General features: G+C 60.0%; 3 protein-coding genes across 14 annotated transcripts in view, besides 5 other annotated features; 2 read left to right on the top strand and 1 right to left on the bottom strand.

Moving 5' to 3' along the window:
* Positions 1-3,469, top strand: part of PDZD4 (PDZ domain containing 4) — a 28,379-nt gene extending 24,910 nt beyond the window's left edge. For all 6 annotated transcript variants that reach the window (NM_001303514.2, NM_032512.5, NM_001303512.2 and 3 more), the window contains 3 exons: positions 29-130; positions 428-538; positions 735-3,469. In NM_001303514.2, coding sequence (NP_001290443.1) covers positions 29-130; positions 428-538; positions 735-2,282 — 1,761 coding nt within the window. In that variant the 3' untranslated portion in view covers positions 2,283-3,469. The remainder of the gene's footprint in view (positions 1-28; positions 131-427; positions 539-734) is intronic.
* Positions 4,652-4,926: a transcriptional cis regulatory region, noted in NCBI's record as "candidate enhancer chrX.2654 targeted for multiplex CRISPR interference". NCBI's record gives its function as "positively regulates SLC6A8 gene expression with high confidence in K562 cells {active_cell/tissue: K562}" and the evidence as "EXISTENCE:mutant phenotype evidence [ECO:0000015][PMID:30612741]".
* SSR4 (signal sequence receptor subunit 4) lies at positions 7,136-11,476 on the bottom strand. 6 transcript variants are annotated; one of them, NR_037927.2, is made up of 8 exons: positions 11,050-11,186; positions 10,881-10,961; positions 9,779-9,972; positions 9,083-9,201; positions 8,103-8,177; positions 7,821-7,910; positions 7,499-7,564; positions 7,136-7,306 (listed from the first exon to the last, which is right to left on the bottom strand). NR_037927.2 is itself a non-coding variant. In NM_001440796.1 (7 exons), the coding sequence occupies exons 2-7, from the start codon at positions 10,945-10,947 to the stop codon at positions 7,202-7,204; spliced, it is 522 nt and encodes a 173-aa protein (NP_001427725.1). In that variant the 5' UTR covers positions 10,948-10,961; positions 11,213-11,476; the 3' UTR covers positions 7,136-7,201. The 6 variants fall into 6 exon arrangements, 5 of the variants coding, with proteins under 5 accessions (NP_001427725.1, NP_001427724.1, NP_001191456.1 ...); NM_001440796.1 differs by lacking the exons at positions 9,779-9,972; positions 11,050-11,186 and adding an exon at positions 11,213-11,476; NM_001440795.1 differs by lacking the exons at positions 9,779-9,972; positions 11,050-11,186 and adding an exon at positions 11,244-11,476.
* Positions 11,011-11,270: an enhancer, noted in NCBI's record as "active region_30040". NCBI's record gives its function as "activates an Ori minimal core promoter by ATAC-STARR-seq in GM12878 lymphoblastoid cells {active_cell/tissue: GM12878}" and the evidence as "EXISTENCE:reporter gene assay evidence [ECO:0000049][PMID:35858748]".
* Positions 11,011-11,897: a biological region, named in NCBI's record as "H3K27ac hESC enhancer GRCh37_chrX:153059193-153059920".
* Positions 11,170-11,897: an enhancer, noted in NCBI's record as "H3K27ac hESC enhancer chrX:153059193-153059920 (GRCh37/hg19 assembly coordinates)". NCBI's record gives its function as "activates a minimal SCP1, AML or CMV promoter by ChIP-STARR-seq in primed H9 embryonic stem cells {active_cell/tissue: H9 hESC(primed)}" and the evidence as "EXISTENCE:reporter gene assay evidence [ECO:0000049][PMID:30033119]".
* On the top strand, positions 11,260-19,867 carry IDH3G (isocitrate dehydrogenase (NAD(+)) 3 non-catalytic subunit gamma). 2 transcript variants are annotated; one of them, NM_004135.4, is made up of 13 exons: positions 11,260-11,389; positions 14,784-14,825; positions 15,060-15,071; positions 15,343-15,440; positions 15,811-15,923; positions 17,500-17,560; positions 17,680-17,812; positions 18,038-18,171; positions 18,482-18,584; positions 18,688-18,834; positions 19,186-19,280; positions 19,363-19,423; positions 19,662-19,867. In NM_004135.4, exons 1-13 carry the CDS (start codon positions 11,309-11,311, stop codon positions 19,761-19,763), a joined length of 1,182 nt encoding a protein of 393 aa, NP_004126.1. In that variant the 5' UTR covers positions 11,260-11,308; the 3' UTR covers positions 19,764-19,867. The 2 variants fall into 2 exon arrangements, with proteins under 2 accessions (NP_004126.1, NP_777358.1); NM_174869.3 differs by having other exon boundaries at positions 19,363-19,867.
* Positions 11,561-11,710: a silencer, noted in NCBI's record as "silent region_21071". NCBI's record gives its function as "represses an Ori minimal core promoter by ATAC-STARR-seq in GM12878 lymphoblastoid cells {active_cell/tissue: GM12878}" and the evidence as "EXISTENCE:reporter gene assay evidence [ECO:0000049][PMID:35858748]".

The raw sequence follows: 19,902 nt of genomic DNA, 5'->3' as shown, positions 1-19,902 counted from the left end.
CTTGTTGATTGTATCCTGCCTGCCTCAGATTAACGGTGTAGACGTCCAGAACCGGGAAGAGGCGGTGGCCATCCTGAGCCAGGAAGAGAACACCAACATCTCCCTGCTGGTGGCCCGACCTGAGAGTCAGGTGTGTATGCCTGGCAGGGCGACCCGGGGCCACGACATCAGGCTTTCTGTCTTGGAAGCTGCTGGCCGTGACTAGGGCACAGATGTGCCAACGACCTGGAGTTGATGGAGGGCGGGTGGGCAGGGGTCTCTCAGGGCCCGTTTCCCCTCCTGGCCTCTGAAGGCTGAGGGGGCTGGGACGCTGCCCCCAGGTTGCTGAGCTTCACCGAAACAAGCCAAGTGCGGGGTCCAGAGCAGACAAGAAGGGTATATGGGGAGGTCCTTGAAGCTGTGGGGACACCAGGGCCTGTCTCCACAGCTGGCGAAAAGGTGGAAGGACAGCGACCGGGATGACTTCCTGGATGACTTTGGCTCTGAGAATGAGGGGGAGCTGCGTGCTCGTAAACTGAAATCACCCCCTGCCCAGCAGGTGAGGAAGGAAAAGGGCGCTGGTGGGGAGGGCGAGGAGGAGAGAACTGGGTGGAAGGCGCTGAGGCTGTGCAGGGTCTCCCAATGCTTGGCAGGGAAATGAACCAGGCCTGAAGCCCCTTCCGATCCTCCTGTGACATCCCGTGACATCCCTGTCCGTGGGACCTAACTGAGCGGTACTTACCTTTCTGCTCTAGCCCGGAAACGAAGAGGAGAAGGGGGCTCCCGATGCCGGCCCAGGCCTGAGCAACAGCCAGGAGCTGGACAGCGGGGTGGGCCGGACTGACGAGAGCACCCGGAACGAAGAGAGCTCTGAGCACGACCTGCTGGGGGACGAACCCCCGAGCTCCACCAACACCCCGGGAAGCCTGCGCAAGTTTGGCCTGCAAGGGGACGCCCTGCAGAGCCGGGACTTCCATTTCAGCATGGACTCTCTGCTGGCCGAGGGGGCGGGGCTGGGAGGGGGCGACGTCCCGGGCCTCACGGATGAGGAGTATGAGCGCTACCGTGAGCTCCTGGAGATCAAGTGCCACCTGGAGAACGGCAACCAGCTGGGCCTCCTCTTTCCCCGGGCCTCCGGAGGCAACAGCGCCCTGGACGTCAACCGCAACGAGAGCCTGGGCCACGAGATGGCCATGCTGGAGGAGGAGCTAAGGCACCTGGAATTCAAGTGCCGCAACATACTGCGGGCGCAGAAGATGCAGCAGCTGCGTGAGCGCTGCATGAAGGCCTGGCTGCTGGAGGAGGAGAGCCTCTACGACCTGGCGGCCAGCGAGCCCAAGAAGCACGAGCTGTCCGACATCTCCGAGCTGCCCGAGAAGTCGGACAAGGACAGCACCAGCGCCTACAACACTGGGGAGAGCTGCCGCAGCACCCCGCTGCTTGTGGAGCCCCTGCCCGAGAGCCCCCTGCGGCGGGCCATGGCCGGCAACTCCAACTTGAACCGGACCCCTCCCGGCCCCGCTGTTGCCACCCCCGCCAAGGCAGCTCCTCCACCGGGGAGCCCCGCCAAGTTCCGGTCCCTCTCCCGGGATCCTGAGGCCGGCCGGAGGCAGCACGCGGAGGAGCGCGGCCGCCGCAACCCCAAGACGGGGTTGACCCTGGAGCGTGTGGGCCCTGAAAGCAGCCCTTACCTCTCGCGGCGCCACCGCGGCCAGGGCCAGGAGGGCGAGCACTACCACAGCTGCGTGCAGCTGGCCCCGACGCGAGGCCTGGAGGAGCTGGGCCACGGCCCCCTGAGCTTGGCCGGTGGCCCTCGGGTGGGCGGGGTGGCGGCCGCGGCCACTGAAGCACCGCGCATGGAGTGGAAAGTGAAGGTGCGCAGCGACGGAACCCGCTACGTGGCCAAGCGGCCCGTGCGAGATCGGCTGCTGAAAGCCCGTGCCCTGAAGATCCGGGAGGAGCGCAGCGGTATGACGACCGACGACGACGCGGTGAGCGAGATGAAGATGGGCCGCTACTGGAGCAAGGAGGAGCGGAAGCAGCACCTGATCCGGGCCCGTGAGCAGCGGAAGCGGCGCGAGTTCATGATGCAGAGCCGGCTGGAGTGCCTGCGGGAGCAGCAGAATGGCGACAGCAAGCCCGAGCTCAACATCATTGCCCTGAGCCACCGCAAAACCATGAAGAAGCGGAACAAGAAGATCCTGGACAACTGGATCACCATCCAGGAGATGCTGGCCCACGGCGCGCGCTCCGCCGATGGCAAGCGGGTCTACAACCCTCTTCTCTCAGTCACCACCGTGTGAGCTGCCCGGGCGGGTACACGGCCCAGGCCCAGGGAACCCCCTGGGGCCCCGGCCCTCACTCTCCTATAGAGATTGTGTGTGTGTGTGTGTGCGCGCGCGCGTGCTCGCTGTGCGCACGCACACATCTCCTCGTCTGGGTGTGCGCACAGGGCTTTGTTAGCAGAGAGAAGCCCCTGAGGAGAAGGGACGCTTTTCTTCCTTCTGCCCAAGTAAAGTGACCATGCCAGTGGCCAGCACTGGGGGCACACCTGTGATGGGCACCCCTTCAGCTGTGCGTGTGCATTCCCCATCCCCCATGCTCTTGCGTGTGCTTGCACGTGCACGCACACACACACCCAGTGCTCTCTCCACCCGACCCGTGTACTTGCAGACAGGGAAGCTGAGCTGAAAGGAGCACAAGAGAGTGTCCGGCTTCGCTGCTGAGCGCGGCCTCTCCCCGCCGCTGCGCACTGCAGTTATTTGTAGACAAAGGCACCCCTGATTTTTGTGGTTTTTCTCCCTTTCTGTGCTTGCCAATAGTTGTTTTGTTTTGTGGACCTGCCCTGGGGGCTGGCAGCTCCTTCAGGCAGCCTGGCAGAAGTGGAACTCCCCTCTCCACTGATGGCTGGGAAGGGAGTTGGGGAGGAAGAGTGGGAGGGAGGGCTGGGGATGGATGGGAGGGAAGGGGAGGGAAAGGTGGGAGGAATGGGAAGCAGCTGTTCTGGTGGCTTCCACTCTGAGGTGTGGGAACGGGGAGCCTCTGGGGGGCACCTGTTTCCCCAGTGACTCAGAGAGAGCAAGACTGCAGGAACGGAGGGGTCCTGCAGGGTGTCCACCAAGAAGTCACAGAGCCCGTTCTGCGCCCCACACCATCTGGAGCAGGGGCTTCTCTTCTGAGTGAACTGAGGAAGGTGCTTAGATGGTGAGGGCTCTAGAAACCAAGCCCCATGAGCAGCAGTGGAAGACCTCGGGCCATGCGGCCTGGGGAGGACTTGGTGGCGATCCGCAACCTGGACCCCAGTGAGAGGCGGTGGGCTGACTGGGAAGGAGAGGCCCCCAACCTCCTCAGGATTTGCACGTGTGAACTAGGCTGCCTGTGGGGTGCCCCTTAGGCTTGGAGAGCCCCAGATTGGAGGCAGACAGACTGCACCACCCCTTCCCCCCCTGCATCTCAAGAATAAAGCAAGCTGCCTTTGTACTTGGTTGAATCGTGGCCTCCCTGTGTTCATTCTTATTGGGCTGGGGAAAGAGTTGTCAGTTTGGGGTGGGAGAAGGAAGAGGGGGGCAGGGTTAGGGTCAACTGAAAGCCACGCTGCAGCCCTCGGTTTGTCTTGGATGTCAGGAGCAGTGACTGTGACCTCCCATGGACAATTGTGTGGCACTCCAGGAGATATACCAGAGTCGCCTGAGTCATTTCAGAGGTGTCACAGTCACAGGGTGGTGACCAGATGCAGAAGGCTGGCAGAAGCCTGACTTCAGACTAGCCTCCAGGCAAGGGCCACGGTCATCTCCATGGGCCAAACCGTAGGTGGGGCCCGCTGCTGGCACATGCCACAGAGAAGTGGGTTCCAGCCCCATCCCTCCCAGCAGGGCCTGATGCCGTCCACTCTGGAAGGCGGAAGCTGCCCTCCCCATTTGGTGATCCCACAGTGCCTAGCAAGGTGCTCAGTTTGCAGAAGGCACCTAGTGGATGTCTTGGCCAGATAGATGAATAACCGCGTCGTTGCCAGGGCCCTTCCATCCTGGGAGCTCTCAGCAAACCTTCGGGCTCTATCAAGTCCTAGGAGCCATGCTCAATGCTGGGCAGGGTCAGGGCCTCAAAGACAACTCCGCAGAAAACATGGGCACAGCCTCTCATGGGAGTGGCACTCCCTGGAGTGGGCAGTGCTGCCATGAAGGAGCGGAAGTGGTCAAGGAGGCATTCAAATTCTCCAGAAAGAAGACAATATAGGCCAGGTGCGGTGGCTCACGCCTGTAATCCCAGCACTTTGGGAGGCCGAGGTGGGTGCATCACATGAGGTCAGGAGTTCGAGAGCAGCCTGGCCAACATGGAGAAACCCCGTCTCTACTAAAAATACAAAAATTAGCCGGGCGTGGTGGCAGGTGCCTGTGATCCCAGCTACTCAGGAGGCTGAGGCAGGAGAATCACTTGAACCCGGGAGGTGGAGGTTGCAGTGAGTCAAGATCATGCCACTGCCCTCCAGCCTCGGCGACAGAGTGAGACCCCCGTCTCAAAAAAAATTTTTTTTCGTTTAAACTTCTCTTAAGTGCCGAGATCGGGGCAGCAAGTCAGTGACGGATTAGACGCTAAGAAGGCTGTGGGGGGAAAAAGTCCCAGTGCCTGTTCCCAGAAGCCTGGAGTCCCGCTGCAGGGAAGGCTGGATCACAAGGGTGCCAGCTGCCTCTCTGCCGCACAGCAGCTCTGGGAGGGAAAGCCTGGCATATCACACCCCACCAGCAGGGAAGAGGGGAAGAGGCTTGCTGGCTGGATGGCAGGAAGGGGAGCAGAGGGCAGAGGCTGGAGATAATGGCTTCCCCCACCCCTCAGGGCCTCACCCCCATGAGGGCTTGGCACATCCAACCCTTGACCAGCTCCCTAACCCTGTCCCTTGGGGGAACAAGGCTCCAAGGGCCCAGCCACAGGGAATTGGCCGGAGTTGACTGGAGATGGAGGTCAAACTGTCCCCTTGGCCTCCCTCTAGCTGCTGGGGGGCTCACTTGGATGGTCCTAAAGGCACCCCCCTTCTTCCAATGGTGGGGTGCCCTCCAGTGTTCACGGGATGTGGGCTCATATGGGCCTGGAGCCTGGAGTCCCTTGGCTGGCTCAGGGAGAGGTGGCGCCAGGAAGGCTGGCAGCACTTGGCTACTGATGCCCTGGAATAGCAACTTCACGTCTGGGTCCCACGGCCATCAGGCTTCGTGGTGGAGCCAGAACTAAAAAGAGCAACCGGGCGCCCGACAGTCGCCCCGGTGCCTGCTGCACCCGGCCTGCCCCAGCCACCCGCCCTGCACAGGCTGCTGAGTCTCCTCTGGAATCTAGAAACTGCATCTGCTGGCAAAGCTGGTGTGGCCCCTCAGCCCCAACGCTCCTGCTGCACTGTCCTGGGGTGAGCGCCCAGCTCTTCCTAGAAGCCCACCTATTCTTGGCAGCCGGCCCCTCCCAACCCCCCTCCCAAGGCCTGGGGGTGGGAAGAGGGCTCCCTGCTTATATAGATGACCCCCTCCCCGAGACTCTGACAGACCCAGGTCACAGGCAGTCCTCACCTGCTCCTGACACCCCCGGCCCCTCAGTGCTGCTCTCTCTAGCCACCGAGCTGAAGTACTGAGGAGCCCCTACCTCCCAGGCAAGTTTTGGGCCTTCCCTCCTTTTCAGCCTTGGCTGAGCGCGGTGGCTCATGCCTATAATCCCAGAACTTTGGGAGGCCGAGATGGATGGATCACCTGAGGTCAGGAGTTCGAGACCAGCCTGGCCAACATAGTGAAACCCCGTCTCTACCAACAATACGAAACATTAGCCGGGTGTGGTGGCAGGTGCCTGTAATCCCAGCTACTCGGGAGGCTGAGGCAGGAGAATTGTTTGAACCTGGGAGGTGGAGGTTGCAGTGAGCTGAGATTGCGCCATTGCACTCCAGCCTGGGCAACAAGAGCGAAACTCTGTCTCAAAAACAAACAAACAAGAAAAAGGCAGCCTCTCTGGAGAATTCCATTTCTCTCCAGTAACAGCCAATGGGTGACCCAGATGTCAGGACTTTGGTGGCTGGTCCCAGTGGACTCCCTGACACCTTGGAGTAGGCACTGTCACTGCCTCGCAGCTGAGCAAACCGACTTGGGTCCCATGGCTGGGAAGGGCTCACCTGGGATTTCCACCCAGTCCCTTTGGACTCCAAGACCCTCACTGCCTCATGGGCCCTCAGTGCCACTAAGGAATACCATTAGCTGGTCAGGAGCCAGCATGTGCCAAGCTGAAAATCAGGCTGATGGGAGAGGTGCAGGATGAACTCCAGGCGTGGTGCCAGGCCGGGATGCCTGCCTGGTGTCCTGAGGGCGCGGGTGCTCTTGGGAGAGGTGTCTCTAGGAGGAAGTGATGTACCCCTCACAGGTGGGGTTTTGTTTTTTTCTTGAGACAAGGTCTCACACTCTGTCACCCGGGCTGGAGCACACTGCTGTGATCACGACTCACTGTATCCTTGACCTCTCCAGGTCAAGTAGCTGAACTACAGGCGCATGCCACCACACCCAGCTAATTTTTCTATTTTTTCTGTAGAGACAGGGTCTCACCATGTTGCCCAGGTTGGTCTCAGACTCCTGACTTCAGGTGATCCTCCCACCTCGGCCTCCCAAAGTGTGGGGATTACAGGTGTGTGCCACCACACCTGGCCATGGGTGTGTATTTTCTCAATATCCCATGAAGGCACAGCACACGGGAAGCCAGGTGGCATGGTCAGGGTGTGGAGTATGGAGGGGCCAAGCCCAGACAGCTGCACGCCGCATGGGCAGGGTGGGGGCACTTGCTGTGCCCGAAAGCAGTGCAGGGAAACCCCTCTGCGTGCGGAATGGGCCCGGGGCTTCCAACACAGGAGCTGTGATGAAGACCAGGCTGGCTGTTTCCCCATGGAGCCTGTGGGGCCACCTGGGGAGGAGGTGGCCAAGCCCACTGCCCTCACCAGAACCAGGAGAGAGTCACTGGGAAGGTGGATACAGGGTTTTGTGGGGACCAGACGGGGGGCTTCATTGGGAGGAGGGACGGGAGTTCTAGACCAAAGCCCACCCCTTTCCTGCCTGGTGCCTCTGCTGGCCAGGCAGACAAGAGGACGCTGGGCCCCCAGCTCTCCCAGTCGGGGGAAGGCACAATAACGCAAGCCAGCAGCCCCAGGTCCTGTGCAGTCCCAGGTCCTGTGATGTTTATTGAAGGAAGCAAGGGCAGGGCTGGGGTGCCGCCCTCAGGCCTGGATGTGGCTCTTCGCACTGAAGGCCAAGTAGTAGATCACAAGGCCGATCGCCGCAGCCAGCACCTCAGTGGACACCCAGGGCCCGTTCCAAGTGCCCTGAAAAAAAGGAGATCACAAGCCAGCTCAGGGGAGTACAGGTGAGCAGACCAGCCAGCCCTGGTCACCTTCCGCCAGGGGAACCAAGACATGCTGGCCAATCACGGCCCAGCAGCAGAGCTGGGGCTGTGGAGAGGATAACCTTCACTCAGCCCAACAACCCCAAAAAGGAGGAGGGACCAGGCCACTCACCCGATGGTCCACGCTGACTGTAAACAGAGGCGGGATGATGGAAATGTCCTCGTTATTCCTCTGAGCCTGCAAGGGAGGTGCAAGGGAGGTGCTGGGGTCAGGGGTGCCTGGCGTGTGGGGGTGGGGAGGGGAGGGGAAAGACAGGTAGGAACACCGGCCCAAGCCCCAGAAAAGGAAAGGAGAGAAATGGGCAAGAGACACTGAGGAAGGGACAGGATCACAGAAAGGCCACCCAGCTCAGGACTTGCTGCCAGCACCTCCCAACCCAGCCCATCCTGCTCCCCAGGGACAGGGGAGCACAGTGGGCTACAGGAGTCCTCACCTTCCTGAGGAGGCTGTAGGACTCCTCGTCGAAGAATCTAACCTCATAGGTGCCTGCGTGGGCGCTCTTGTGGTCCAGGCTCCAGGACACCTGGGTTGGGTGTTGAGCAGAGTGTGGGCAGAGTGGACACGGAGGGGCCACCCTGACCACCAGTGCCGACACTGCAGCACTCCGGCAGCCAGAGCCCACGGCCCCTGGCCCTGGTTGACCGGCCACCCCTGGGGCTTCAGGTCACACCCGGGAGCAGGGAGCCCCCTAGCAAGGGAACCATTGGCCCCTCACCTGATAACGCCCCACATCCTGGCCTCGAGTGACAGGGAATTGTTTTCCACCGACGTCAGCATAGAGAGCCATGTTCTGGGTGAGGGAACAAAGGCAGGGTCACCTTCTGCCCCCTCTGGGTGTGGGCAGAGGAGCCCTGTGCGCTGCTCACACGGCCTGCAGGTGGGCAGGCTAGGCCCAGTTGGGGGCTGCAGTGTCCCTGGCAGGAGGTACCAAGTAACACTCACCAATCCCGTGACTGGCCCTCTGCATTGGTCTTCCCTACGGGGGCACAAGGCCAGATCCCCATGGCCGGGCCTAACTGGACGCATAGGAACCCTGTTGACTGTGAGCAGGGGCGGGATGATCAAAAGGGCTGAGTGATTTCCTGAGTCTACAAGGGAGGTGCTGGGGTCAGGGGTGCCCAGTGGGCTGCCCAAGGGGTGCTTTACCCTAAGAGGGCCATACCCAAAAAAGGCCCCATTTCCTTCTTTGGACTTATGGGAACTTAGCTGGGCATGGTGGCGAGCACCTGTCATCCCAGCTACTTAGGAGACTGAGAGGAGAATCGCTTGAACCCGGGAGGTGGAGGCTGCAGTGAGCCAAGATCGTGCCAATGCACTCCAGCTGAGGCAACAGAGTGAGACCCTATCTCAAAAAAACAAACAAAAAACAAAAACAAAAACAAAACACCCACACAGACAAACTGGCCAATGGCAACCGGGGTGGGCTGACTCCTGGCCCTTTCTCCCGGTCCAGATACTCATTCAGGAAACAGCGGGTGGTGAGCCCAGGGTTACCTCGTGTAGGCACAGCACACAAAGCAGGTGAGGAAGGTGACCTGTCAACACTGGCTAGGATCTGGCATCACCGTGCCCTGATCTCTCCGGCACCCCAAGAGTTGGAATCTTGATTCTCCCTCTATCGACACAGGTCCCCCATCAACTAGCAGTGAGGAGCACCCCCCACCCGCCCTCCTGTCTGAAACCCCACTGTCTCACCTGGACCCTGTTCTTGCATGTCAGGGAGATCTCCACAATGAAGACGGTCTCAGTGGAAATGACAGCGTCAGAAGTGGTGTAGTAGGAAGGGGTGATCTGGGGCTCCAGGCAGGCCTCGGCTGCGGGGAAGAGGGAGAGATGCCTGGGTAAGGCCAGCTCGAGTATCCCGGTCTGAGGGCAGGATGGCCCGGCCCTGCCTCATAGCACGGATCAGCTGGGGACCCATGCGCTCTTCCTGCCCCTTCCAGGTGGGATATGCGAGACAGATCCAAGTGCTCGGTCACAAATGCAATGGCAACGTAGGCGGGATGGCTGTGAAGGAAGGCTGGGGAGGGGCAAGGCCGGCTTTCTGGAGGTGTGCAGGAAGAGCGAACTGGGGACAGGTGGGGGCTGGATTCACTGGACAATACATGCCAACACTTGGACCTATGACACGGAGGCCCGGGGGCCACGCCAGCCTCAATTCAGAGCCACAAACGGCCTGGACGAGTTACTGAAGGCATCCTCAGCAGAGACATCGGGGGTGGGGGCTGCAGGCAGGCAATGCACTGGGGCTTTCAAGATGAGAGAAAGGGTCTCTGCCCCCGGCCAGTTGACAGAAGGTGAAGACTGGCCCCAGCGTTTCCTGAAGAAGTAAACGGGAGAGACTCTGGTTCCAGAAGCACAACTTGTTAGCTGTGAGAGAAAGGACCTTGCCTTAGCCTTCTCCATAACCAGAGGCCCAAAGGAAAGGAAGGCTGCCGCCTACATCAGAGGGTGTGAAACAAAGGCTCCCCAAAGTGGGAATGTTCTCAGCCACCCGCTGTCCAAATGTGGTGCCCTGGCAGAACGATGGCTTCAGCAGAGGACGTCAGAGAAGGCTCTGGGTCTGGACCACAGGAGGCAGATCCCTAGGAACAGCGTGGAGGCAGTTCTCAGGGGCTAGATCCCGCCAGCCCTTCTGTGTCCTGCCTAAGTTGGGCCTGCTTCCTGTGGCGCAGGGGAGCCCCCGAAGGGTTTTATGGCCAGGCTTGTCCTCTGGATACGTCCCTGACTATAGTTCAGGGAATTCCTGAGGGGCAGATGAGGAGTGTGCGGAAAGGGAGGCCAGTTAGGCTGCCAAAACGTTGCAGGCAGCAAGGCTACTGGCCTGAAGGACGGCAGAAAAGGGAATGTGGAGAAAGCCGCCCCTGTCCAGTCCTGGCCCCCGGGCCCGGGGCTGGCTGCTGCAGCCACCTCCTAAACACACTCTGGAGTTCAGACCTCAGCCCCTCACGAATGCAAATCGACGGGACCCCTGGTCGGCTCTGCCGAAAACTCTGGTAAGGGTAAGGCAGGGCCCTCCGGAAAAGCCAGTCTTCGGCCTGGCACTCAAGGCCCTGCGCACCTTTGGCTCCCCATCTAACTCGCCCCGCTCTTGCTCCCTCTCCTCACTGAGGTCCCTTCCTAGCTTATGTGGCTCCTCCAGCCCCGTTTTTGGCCGCGATCGCTCAGCGCTACAGAGCTTCGCTCCGGTCCGACCCCGCAGGGAGCGGGAGCCGGGACATGTGTCACGTTCCGTGCTGCAGCTTGGGGGCCGGGCGCACCATGGAGGCTCGGGGACTCCTCTTCGTATGGGCAGACAAGGAAAAGCCTGGCTGCCGGTAAACGTGCGCGAGGTGCTTTGGTCCCCCCGTCCCAAGGCCGCCTGCCTCTCGGGGGAAGGCCCGGCCCGCAGCGACGGACCCTGAAAGGCCGGACCCCCGCATCCCTCCTGCCCCCAACACCACCTGCCGTGGGTCAGAGGCTCGCAAGAAAGAAGCCCCGGCTGGGCCGCTACCTGAGCAGCGGGAGAGGCTGGACAGCAGGAGCAGCGCCAGGGCGCCGAGAGATGCCATCGCCGCCATCGCCTCTTCTCTGCCTAGAGGAAAAGAAAACGAGCTCCCATGAACACGAGGGGCAAACGAGGAAGAGCGACGCGTAAGTGGCAGCGGCAGCCAATCGCGCACCGAACGGCTGGGCCGGCATTGTGACGTCTCTGGCAGCACTGACGTGGCCCCTCCCTGAGCCAGGGGCCCAGCTGGTCGCGGTCCCCCCCTCAACATGGCGGCAGCGGTGCTCTAGGCGCCGGAAGGGGGCGTGAATCGGTGCGACCGCGCGCGTGCGCAGTACCGGGTCCGCGCCTGTCCCCGAAACTTCGCACCCCGTCGAACTCTCGCGAGAGCGGTATCTGCGTGTCGGGACGTGCGGAGGCTCTCACTTTCCGTCATGGCGCTGAAGGTAGCGACCGTCGCCGGCAGCGCCGCGAAGGCGGTGCTCGGGCCAGCCCTTCTCTGCCGTCCCTGGGAGGTGAGCAGGGAAAGAGCCACGGGACCGCGGCAGCGGTCGCAGGGGAGCGGTGGGGTAGCCGCACCCGAAGCAGTCTGGAGTCCGATTGGCTAGGGGCCCCACCAGGGGCGGGGAAAGGGCTTCGCGCCGGGGTTGATTGGCCGCCTCCGCTGTCACTGAGGGGATTGGCCGAAGTTGGCCCTGGACCGGCTCCCCCAGGGGGTCTGCATCGGGTGGCGGGGGGCCCTCCGGACGGGCCGGGAGAGTGGGCCACGGCGGCTGTCACCTCCTTAGTGTCCTTGAAGGAGCCCTTCTGAGGCAGTCACTCACGTATCCCGGCCCGCCTTTCTCAAACCGCTTCGGGAATCCGGTTCCGGGACTCAAATTTCTCCACGGTTTCCTCTCTCGTGGACCGCTTTGCCACCTATCCCGGTGGCAAAGAACCGGACTTTGCCAGTCATCCCCCATAGTCCCCCAGTCTTAGAGCCCCAGATGCCTTCCCCTCGAGGCGCCTGGAATGGGAAGGAGCTAGGGTTTCTGAGGCTGCGGGGGTTTTGCTTCTGCTCTTCTCCGTGTGCGGTCTTGCGTATTCAGGTCCGAGTCTTCTTTCCTTACACTTATTTAAGAAGAGGTTAATTTAGGTCCTAGGTGGGCTGGAAACCATCTGAAGCAGCTGCCAGCCAGCACCTGGCCCTGATGGGTAAGAGGTTTGACCTCTAGGCCATGCTCCCACACTGAGCCACTGCGTGGCCTTAGGCCATTTCCTCCTCTCTCTGGGTTCTAGTTTCCCCTTTGGAACCCAGAGGGGAGGAGACTTCATGTTCTCAAAGGATCCTGTCAACTCTGACCTTCCAGAACTCCGTGACTTTGCGGCCACTCCCCAGGGACATCTCTACTTGCCATGTTTTCTCCTTCTGACCTCTGGGGGAGACTGCTTGTGCCTAATGAAATTCTCTTGACGATGCTGACTTCTCCCACCTTGCTGCTGAAAGGACGGCAGTATATAGTGGCTTTCCAGAGGCTCTGATGGCTCCAGCAACTGGGCTCCTGTAGGCTCTTGGTGAAGACATGTGTGCCTCCTCCCTGACCTCCCCTGTGTGTGTGCCTGTGTGTGCGTTGGGGTGGGAGTAGGGGACAGTGAACGGTGGGTAGCTGGGCAGTGCCTTGCCCTGAGACTGACCGTCCTGGGTGTGAGAACCCTTACAGAGGAACCCCAGGTCTTGAATCCCACTGATTTGGACGCCATAGGAAAACATGCAGCCACCATTGACACATGGTCCAACAGAAATATGCCAAAGACAGAAGCCTCAGCAGGCATAAGATGTGGGGTGTGGATGTTCTTTCTTTCCATGGAACCATGAAAGGGTGATGGGAGAGCGGGAGGCGTGTACATATTGCATCCTGCCTCACACTTGGCTCCTTTGATTGGTGGCTTCACAGGGAAGTCAGGGCACAAGGCAGAGCCTTTGCGACCTCCTGAAGGAAGGTGCCTGCATCTGTACAGTAAGGTCAGGGAAGTCCATCTGGAGCGCTCTCTGGGTCTTTTGCCAAAGCCCAAAGGAACACCTGGCACAGGGACCGGGTGGCAGAGAGGTTCAGCTCAGCCCTGGTGGTGATGTTGCCATCTGTGAGGGAGGTCCATGCTCTCAGGAGATTGGCTTGCTGCCACAGCTGAAGCCCAGGAGGAACTACTGCTGGGAGCTGCAGGGGTCCACCCGTGACCTCCCAGGGACACCAGCCTTGAACTCTGACCTGAGGGGCCAGTGGGGTGAAGGGGCAGGCGTGCTGTGTGGCACTAGCTACTGTGAGCAGCTCACACACCTCCTGTCCCCTAATCTTTCCAACAGTCACGGAAAGTAGGTACCTCCGTTCTGTGAATTTCAGATGAGGCCATGAAGCCATCTCAAGAAGAGTGGATGGTGGATTTGGACCGAGGCCTCCCTAGTCTCCAGATCTTTTTTCATTTTCTGATGTGCTTGTTCACTCAGGAAATGTTCCTTATGTGCCAGCTCTGGGCCAGGTACTGTGCTGGGTCCTAGGGTGACAGTATTGGACCACACTGACTTGGCCCCTCCTCTCGGGCTCAGGGGTTGAGGAGGGAGCAATGCAGTGATAACCTAGGGAAGGGGGTAAGTAGGGCCTTAGGGTCCCAGCTCAGTAGCCTTAGGGCATCAGGGAAAGCTCCCTGGAGGAAGGTCCATCGAAGCCGCTTTCTGCGTGCTTACAAGAGCCCCCAAATAAGATGATTTCAGATGTTGATAAGCGCTAGAGAGAAGACAGAAAAGTCCCGACCCGTTGATAAGCGCTAGAGAGAAGACAGAAAAGTCCCGACCGTGCCTGTGCTTGCAGATCCAGGTGCCACACAGATCAGCTGAGCTATCCTCGGGGCTCTGGTCCTTGTGGGCACCCTCTCCTAGCCCCTGGCTTGGACTGATGAGTGCCGGCCAGGGACACACAGACAGGGAGAGGTCAGACTCCGCCCGAGCCTTTCTGGACTTCTAGCTGGAAGGCATGGCTCTTTGGCCAATGGCTATGATGCTTCTGCCATTGGCTGGAACACTTTGCTGCTGCCTGGTGGTCAAGTGGCAGGGCATCCCCAAGTGACAGGGAAGACCTTGGCTCTGCCACCGTCTCAGGTGTGTTCTAGGTGGGGCTTCTTCCAGGACAGCAGGTCACTTGGCACCTGGCACATTTGGCTCAGGCAGCTTTGGCTCTGAAGCTGTCCGGCATTTCCAGTCAGGGCGTTGGGGACATTCGGCATCCAGCAGTCCTTTCCGAAGGCCTTCCTAGAGTTGGGTTTCTGTTATCAACCTTCCAGAAATGGCTGGATGTCCCTACACATTTGTTTTCGATTTCTAATGCCGAAGGGCCATTCCCCAGGGGGCCAGCAGTGCTTGTCTCAGGGAGGCCGGAGGCTGGGTGCTACCTTCTTATCTCCCTATTCTGCTTTTTCTGTAGCGACCACATGCTGCTTTTGTAATAAGAAAAAGTGATCGGCGAAGTGATAACGTGACTGTTGTCATGGATCTGTGGTTTGTTGTAATGATTTCCCTGCTGTACCAGGGTTAGTTTGCCAGTTTTTGCATGTTACAAACATCGCTGAGCGGGAATAACTGGCCAAAAAAATAATCAGAAGCAAAAAAGAGGAGGGAGGGCAGGGACACGCCTTTTAAGAAATTTTCTGAAGAGCGGAAGGAGGCAGGAGGCTGGAGCGCCTTCTACTTTCCAGGTGCTCCAGCGGGCCGGCCCTGGGGACTGAGGCTTTGGAGCTAATTATCTATTGTGCCCCTGGCAGTGGGCCATGCTGCACAGACAGGGGACCTGCCTGGGCACAGTGGGGACGGTCCGTTTTTCCTTCCAACTTGGCTTTCTGGGTTAGACATCAAACCAACCGCTGGCATTTGGTCTCTGCCAGGTTCTAGGCGCCCACGAGGTCCCCTCGAGGAACATCTTTTCAGTAAGTACCTGCCCGTGCCCACGCATGTGTCTTTCTCCATGTGGCCGCAATTGTGCGCGTGTGTGCACGGCCTGTGTCCTGTCCTCTGAGACGTGGTCTCCAGGGGCTACCCACCCCTCTTCTGGGAGTTGTACTAGCCAGCATCCCCCTGGGAAAAGGTCCCACTTTCCTGGTCACGGCCTTGCTCTTGGAACCTTGGCTGATTGTGTCTTCTTCCTTTCTCATCCTTTCTAGGAACAAACAATTGTGAGTATTCTTCTCTGCCTGTTAGGTTTGGGGGGCTCTTAGTTGCTTTGGGGTTAACTAAATTCCAGGTGGGGGTGGGCTGCTGCTGACCCAGGAGCCCTGGATGAGCAGCCCTGTCTGGGACGGGGCTGCCCCAAGTTGGCACCTTGTGACGGGGCAGCCTGTGGGGTCAGCGCCAGTGGGAAGAAGGGAATTGGCTTGAGCCCATGGGGGCCGAGCTGGGGGCATGTGGGATCCCCGAAGGCCCACCTTCACCCTCTGCCTCCCACAGCCTCCGTCCGCTAAGTATGGCGGGCGGCACACGGTGACCATGATCCCAGGGGATGGCATCGGGCCAGAGCTCATGCTGCATGTCAAGTCCGTCTTCAGGTATGGAGCTCCTGGGTCCCCGCCTTGTCCTCAGCCAGGGGGCCCTGAGGACTTTGTGCCAAGAGGGGCATTGCGCCCAGAAGCACTCGGTGAGGCCATGGCAAGACGACCTGTAAGCCCAGGCCTTGCGTCCCATGGCCTGTGATCCCGCCAGACTGGCCTGGGCTCGGGGAAGGTGGCACCAGTCCTGCCACAGTGTGCATTGTGGAGTTCAAGCGTGTCCCCATCAGTCAGTGAAGGTGGGCCCAGTCCCTTCTCAGTCAGAGCCAGGTCAGGGCAGGTAGCAACAGGAGAGAGGTAGCCTGGGCAGGCTTCCTGGAGGAGGTGCGGGGGGGTCTGGGCCAGCCTCCCTGACCCTGCCGTGCCTCAGGCACGCATGTGTACCAGTGGACTTTGAAGAGGTGCACGTGAGTTCCAATGCTGATGAAGAGGACATTCGCAATGCCATCATGGCCATCCGCCGGAACCGCGTGGCCCTGAAGGGTGAGCTCCAGGGCCAGGGGCCAGGATGGGGCCCTAGGTGTGATTTCTTTCTTGCTTTCTTCCTTCGTTTCTTGCTTACTTGCTCGCTTGCTTGCTTTCTTGCTTGCTTTCCTGCTTTCTTGCTTGCTTGCTTTTTTGCTTTCTTGCTTTCTTTCTTGCGTTCTTTCTGAGATGGGGTCTCGCTCTGTCGCCCAGGCTAGAGTGCAGCGGTGTGATCTCGGCTCAGTGCAACCTCTGCCTTCCAGTTTCAAGCGATTCTCCTGCCTCAGCCTCCCGAGTAGCTGAGATTACAGGCGCCCGCCACCACGCCCAGCTGATTTTTGTATTTTCAGTAGAGAGTGGGTTTCACCATGTTGGCCAGGCTGGTCTTGAACTCCTGACCTCGTGATCTGCCCGCCTCAGCCTCTCAAAGTGTTGGGATTACAGGCGTGAGCCGTCGTGCCCAGCCCCTGTGATTTCTTTTACCTCCCTCTGAGCTGACTCTTGTGGGGCCCCACGGCTCTGATTTCAGGGCTTGTCTGGCTAGAGAGGACCCTCGTGCTTGGAGACTGGGTGGACGCCTCCTCGGGCCTGTTTGCGCTGCGATGCTGGGATTCGAGTGAGAGCAGCTGTGTGTGAGCCTGTCCAGTGACGGGCTCCCTGATGGGTTCCCTCCCACCCCTCCTTCCCTCCTGAGACAGTCCTCTCTGCTGGGGTCAGCTTTGACCCTCAGCATCTTTCTTCACAAACCAGGTATCACAGAGATGCAGTTCCGACCCTCTGCCTGGCTCCTCGGCTGCAGCCAGCCTGGAGGTGGATGGCACAGCCCAGGCAGGGATTCTTGGGGCTTCACTTGAGGTCCTTAAACTACTTCCATTGCTCATTTTGCACACTCAGCCCATTACTTGCACTGTGTGAGGAGCGTGTGAGCAAAGATGAACCCAGGGGGAGCCCCAGGCCCTGGCAGTCAAGTAGAGGGGCCTTTGTGCCAGCCACAGGGGACCCCCGCGCTGTGAGTGGAGCAGTCTGGGTGGGGTACCGCTCACCAGCAGGCGGCCTCTGCTTGGCGCCCTCTGACTGCTGTCTCCAGCGGCCACTGGCCTCTGCTTCCCTTCCTCCAGGTGTCCTGGGTCGTAGGGTAGGGTCCGGCCAATCCGTGGCCTTCTCCAGGCAGCCCCCGCCTGCCTCTGAGTGTGGTGCCTTGATGCGGGGGCTTGGCAGTAACACCGCCAAGGCCACCTTGCTAGCTCCAGCCTGGCCGGCCAACCTGTTAGTAAAGAGTGGTCACTTTCTGTTGCTCCAGAGCCTGGATGGAGAATGGCATGGCTGCCTGGCTGGTTGCCAGCCTTTATTCATTTATTGACTTGTTCATTCCGTCGTTCAGGGGTTATTCATGGAGCACCTGCTGCACCAGGTGCCCTTCGAGATCCCTGAGCGTGTAGCCTCGTGGGGCTTAGGCTGGAAGTTGCATTCTAGCATTCTAGTGTTCAGGAAACATTTTTGCTCCCCAAGTCTTCTGACCCCGGCAGCCTTCAGCTGCCCTGCTGAGGTGGGGCGGGGATGGGCAGTGCCACTAAGCCTGTGTTGTGTTTTGTAGGCAACATCGAAACCAACCATAACCTGCCACCGTCGCACAAATCTCGAAACAACATCCTTCGGTGAGATCCGGGTGTGCGGGCTGGGGGCTTGGTGGGGCTAAGGTGGGGTGAGCCAGTGGAGTCTGGCTCCAGTCAGCCACCTGTCAGGCCTAGCAGCCTCTTTCTCCGTCCCCTCCCAGCACCAGCCTGGACCTCTATGCCAACGTCATCCACTGTAAGAGCCTTCCAGGCGTGGTGACCCGGCACAAGGACATAGACATCCTCATTGTCCGGGAGAACACAGAGGGCGAGTACAGCAGCCTGGAGCATGAGGTGTGCATGGGGGGCCCGAGATGAGCCCCCCCAGCGTCAAGATTAAGGGGAGAGCTTAAGGAACCAGGGACAGGTGTACCCTTAGAGGGCAGGGGCTGTGCCCGAGGGAGAAGCCAGAAATAGGCAGACAGGGTTGCTTCCCACGGTGGCCCGGTCGCGCCAGCTTGTTTGGCCAGTGCTGCTCTTCAGTAGCACATGGGTCTCTTCTCCCCATGCCCTCCTCAGAGTGTGGCGGGAGTGGTGGAGAGCCTGAAGATCATCACCAAGGCCAAGTCCCTGCGCATTGCCGAGTATGCCTTCAAGCTGGCGCAGGAGAGCGGGCGCAAGAAAGTGACGGCCGTGCACAAGGCCAACATCATGTATGTCCCCTGACCTCTCTGCGAGCAGTCCAGAAGCAGCTGCAGTGGCCTGCTTGGGCCTGCTCTGAGGGATTTGTGGTCCAAAAGCCCAGCTACCCACCGAGGTGCCACCCTAGGCGAGTGCCCTGTTGCCCTCGAGGCCTTGCCAGAACCCACACTTAGGGGAGGTGGGGTGGGATTCTGTCCATTTTGCTGGTGAGGGACAGGTTAGAATTCAGACCCCAGCCTCCTGGGGCCCTCTGCACGCCCCGTCCCTCTGGCTGACTGTTGCGATGGCCAAGCTGGTGTCCTATTCCTAACCCCCCACCAGGAAACTGGGCGATGGGCTTTTCCTCCAGTGCTGCAGGGAGGTGGCAGCCCGCTACCCTCAGATCACCTTCGAGAACATGATTGTGGATAACACCACCATGCAGGTATTAGCCTGCCCAGTGCTGTCCCCCTGCCCTGAGTGCCCTGGGCTTCTCTCACCCATGCTTCCGAATCTGCTCCTCAGCCAGCCCCCTCCTTGTCCCGCAGCTGGTGTCCCGGCCCCAGCAGTTTGATGTCATGGTGATGCCCAATCTCTATGGCAACATCGTCAACAATGTCTGCGCGGGACTGGTCGGGGGCCCAGGCCTTGTGGCTGGGGCCAACTATGGCCATGTGTACGCGGTGTTTGAAACAGTGAGTGCCGGTGGCAGTGCCGCGGCTTGCCGCCTTTCTCCTGTTCACAGACTTAGTGAGGCACACTCATCCCATCCGGTTAGCCCGTTCAAAATGCATGATTTAGTAGTTTTTTGGATATCCAGGGTTGTACTGCCGTCACCACCAGGTCATTCCAGAACATTTTCACCACCCCACGAGGAAAGCCTGTCCCCATAAGCTATCTGTCCCCACACCTTCCCCCAACCCCTGGCACCCGCTGGTGGGCTTTTGTCCCTGTGGAGTGGCTTCTTCTGGACGTGTCACAGGAGCAGAGTCACTGCCCGGCATCCTTCTGCCCTCCACCCACTCTCCTTCGTCTTGCCTCCCCAGGCTACGAGGAACACCGGCAAGAGTATCGCCAATAAGAACATCGCCAACCCCACGGCCACCCTGCTGGCCAGCTGCATGATGCTGGACCACCTCAAGTGAGTGGCTCCCAGTGCCCCGCAAGCCCCTGGCCAGCCCTCCGGGCCCCAGGGACTGAAGGCTGGCTGTCCCATCCTCTAGGCTGCACTCCTATGCCACCTCCATCCGTAAGGCTGTCCTGGCATCCATGGACAATGAGAATGTGAGGTTCCCCTCGCACCCTACCCTGCTGCCCCGCCCAGTCTCCCCCTGCAGCCTCCTGTAGCCCGCCTCATGCACTGACCACAGCCCCCAGGGGAGGATGGTACTGGATCTGGCCCCATCTTCTGGCCCTTAGCTGGTGCCACTTCCCTCCTGTGGCAATCCCAGTCCTGCACGTCACAGGAGACAGCGGGGGGTGGCAGGGCCTGGTGTGTGCCGAGCCTGCCTGTGTCCTACAGATGCACACTCCGGACATCGGGGGCCAGGGCACAACATCTGAAGCCATCCAGGACGTCATCCGCCACATCCGCGTCATCAACGGCCGGGCCGTGGAGGCCTAGGCTGGCCCTAGGACCTTCTTGGTTTGCTCCTTGGATTCCCCTTCCCACTCCAGCACCCCAGCCAGCCTGGTACGCAGATCCCAGAATAAAGCACCTTCTCCCTAGACTTGGCGTGGGCCTCCCTCACTCCAGGCACCGA

The sequence above is a fragment of the Homo sapiens genome, chromosome X (assembly GCF_000001405.40).
Source record: "Homo sapiens chromosome X, GRCh38.p14 Primary Assembly".
Taxonomy (NCBI): Eukaryota; Metazoa; Chordata; class Mammalia; order Primates; family Hominidae; genus Homo; species Homo sapiens.
The sequence above is the reverse complement of the archived record's forward strand: the minus strand, read 5'-3'. Positions and strand labels throughout refer to the sequence as shown.

Bases quoted from the DNA above. Each gene is read 5' to 3' on its own strand.
- IDH3G (NM_004135.4), top strand. From the start codon at position 11,309: ATGGCGCTGAAGGTAGCGACCGTCGCCGGCAGCGCCGCGAAGGCGGTG. The intron at 17,813-18,037 runs GTGTGCATGGGG...TGCCCTCCTCAG, and splicing joins ACAGCAGCCTGGAGCATGAG to AGTGTGGCGGGAGTGGTGGA. The intron at 19,281-19,362 runs GTGAGTGGCTCC...CCCATCCTCTAG, and splicing joins ATGATGCTGGACCACCTCAA to GCTGCACTCCTATGCCACCT.
- SSR4 (NM_001440795.1), bottom strand. From the start codon at position 11,310: ATGACGGAAAGTGAGAGCCTCCGCACGTCCCGACACGCAGATACCGCT. The intron at 8,178-9,082 runs GTGAGACAGTGG...TCCCTCACCCAG, and splicing joins CATGCAAGAACAGGGTCCAG to AACATGGCTCTCTATGCTGA. The intron at 7,307-7,498 runs GTGAGTGGCCTG...CCTTTTTTTCAG, and splicing joins CAGTCAGCGTGGACCATCGG to GGCACTTGGAACGGGCCCTG.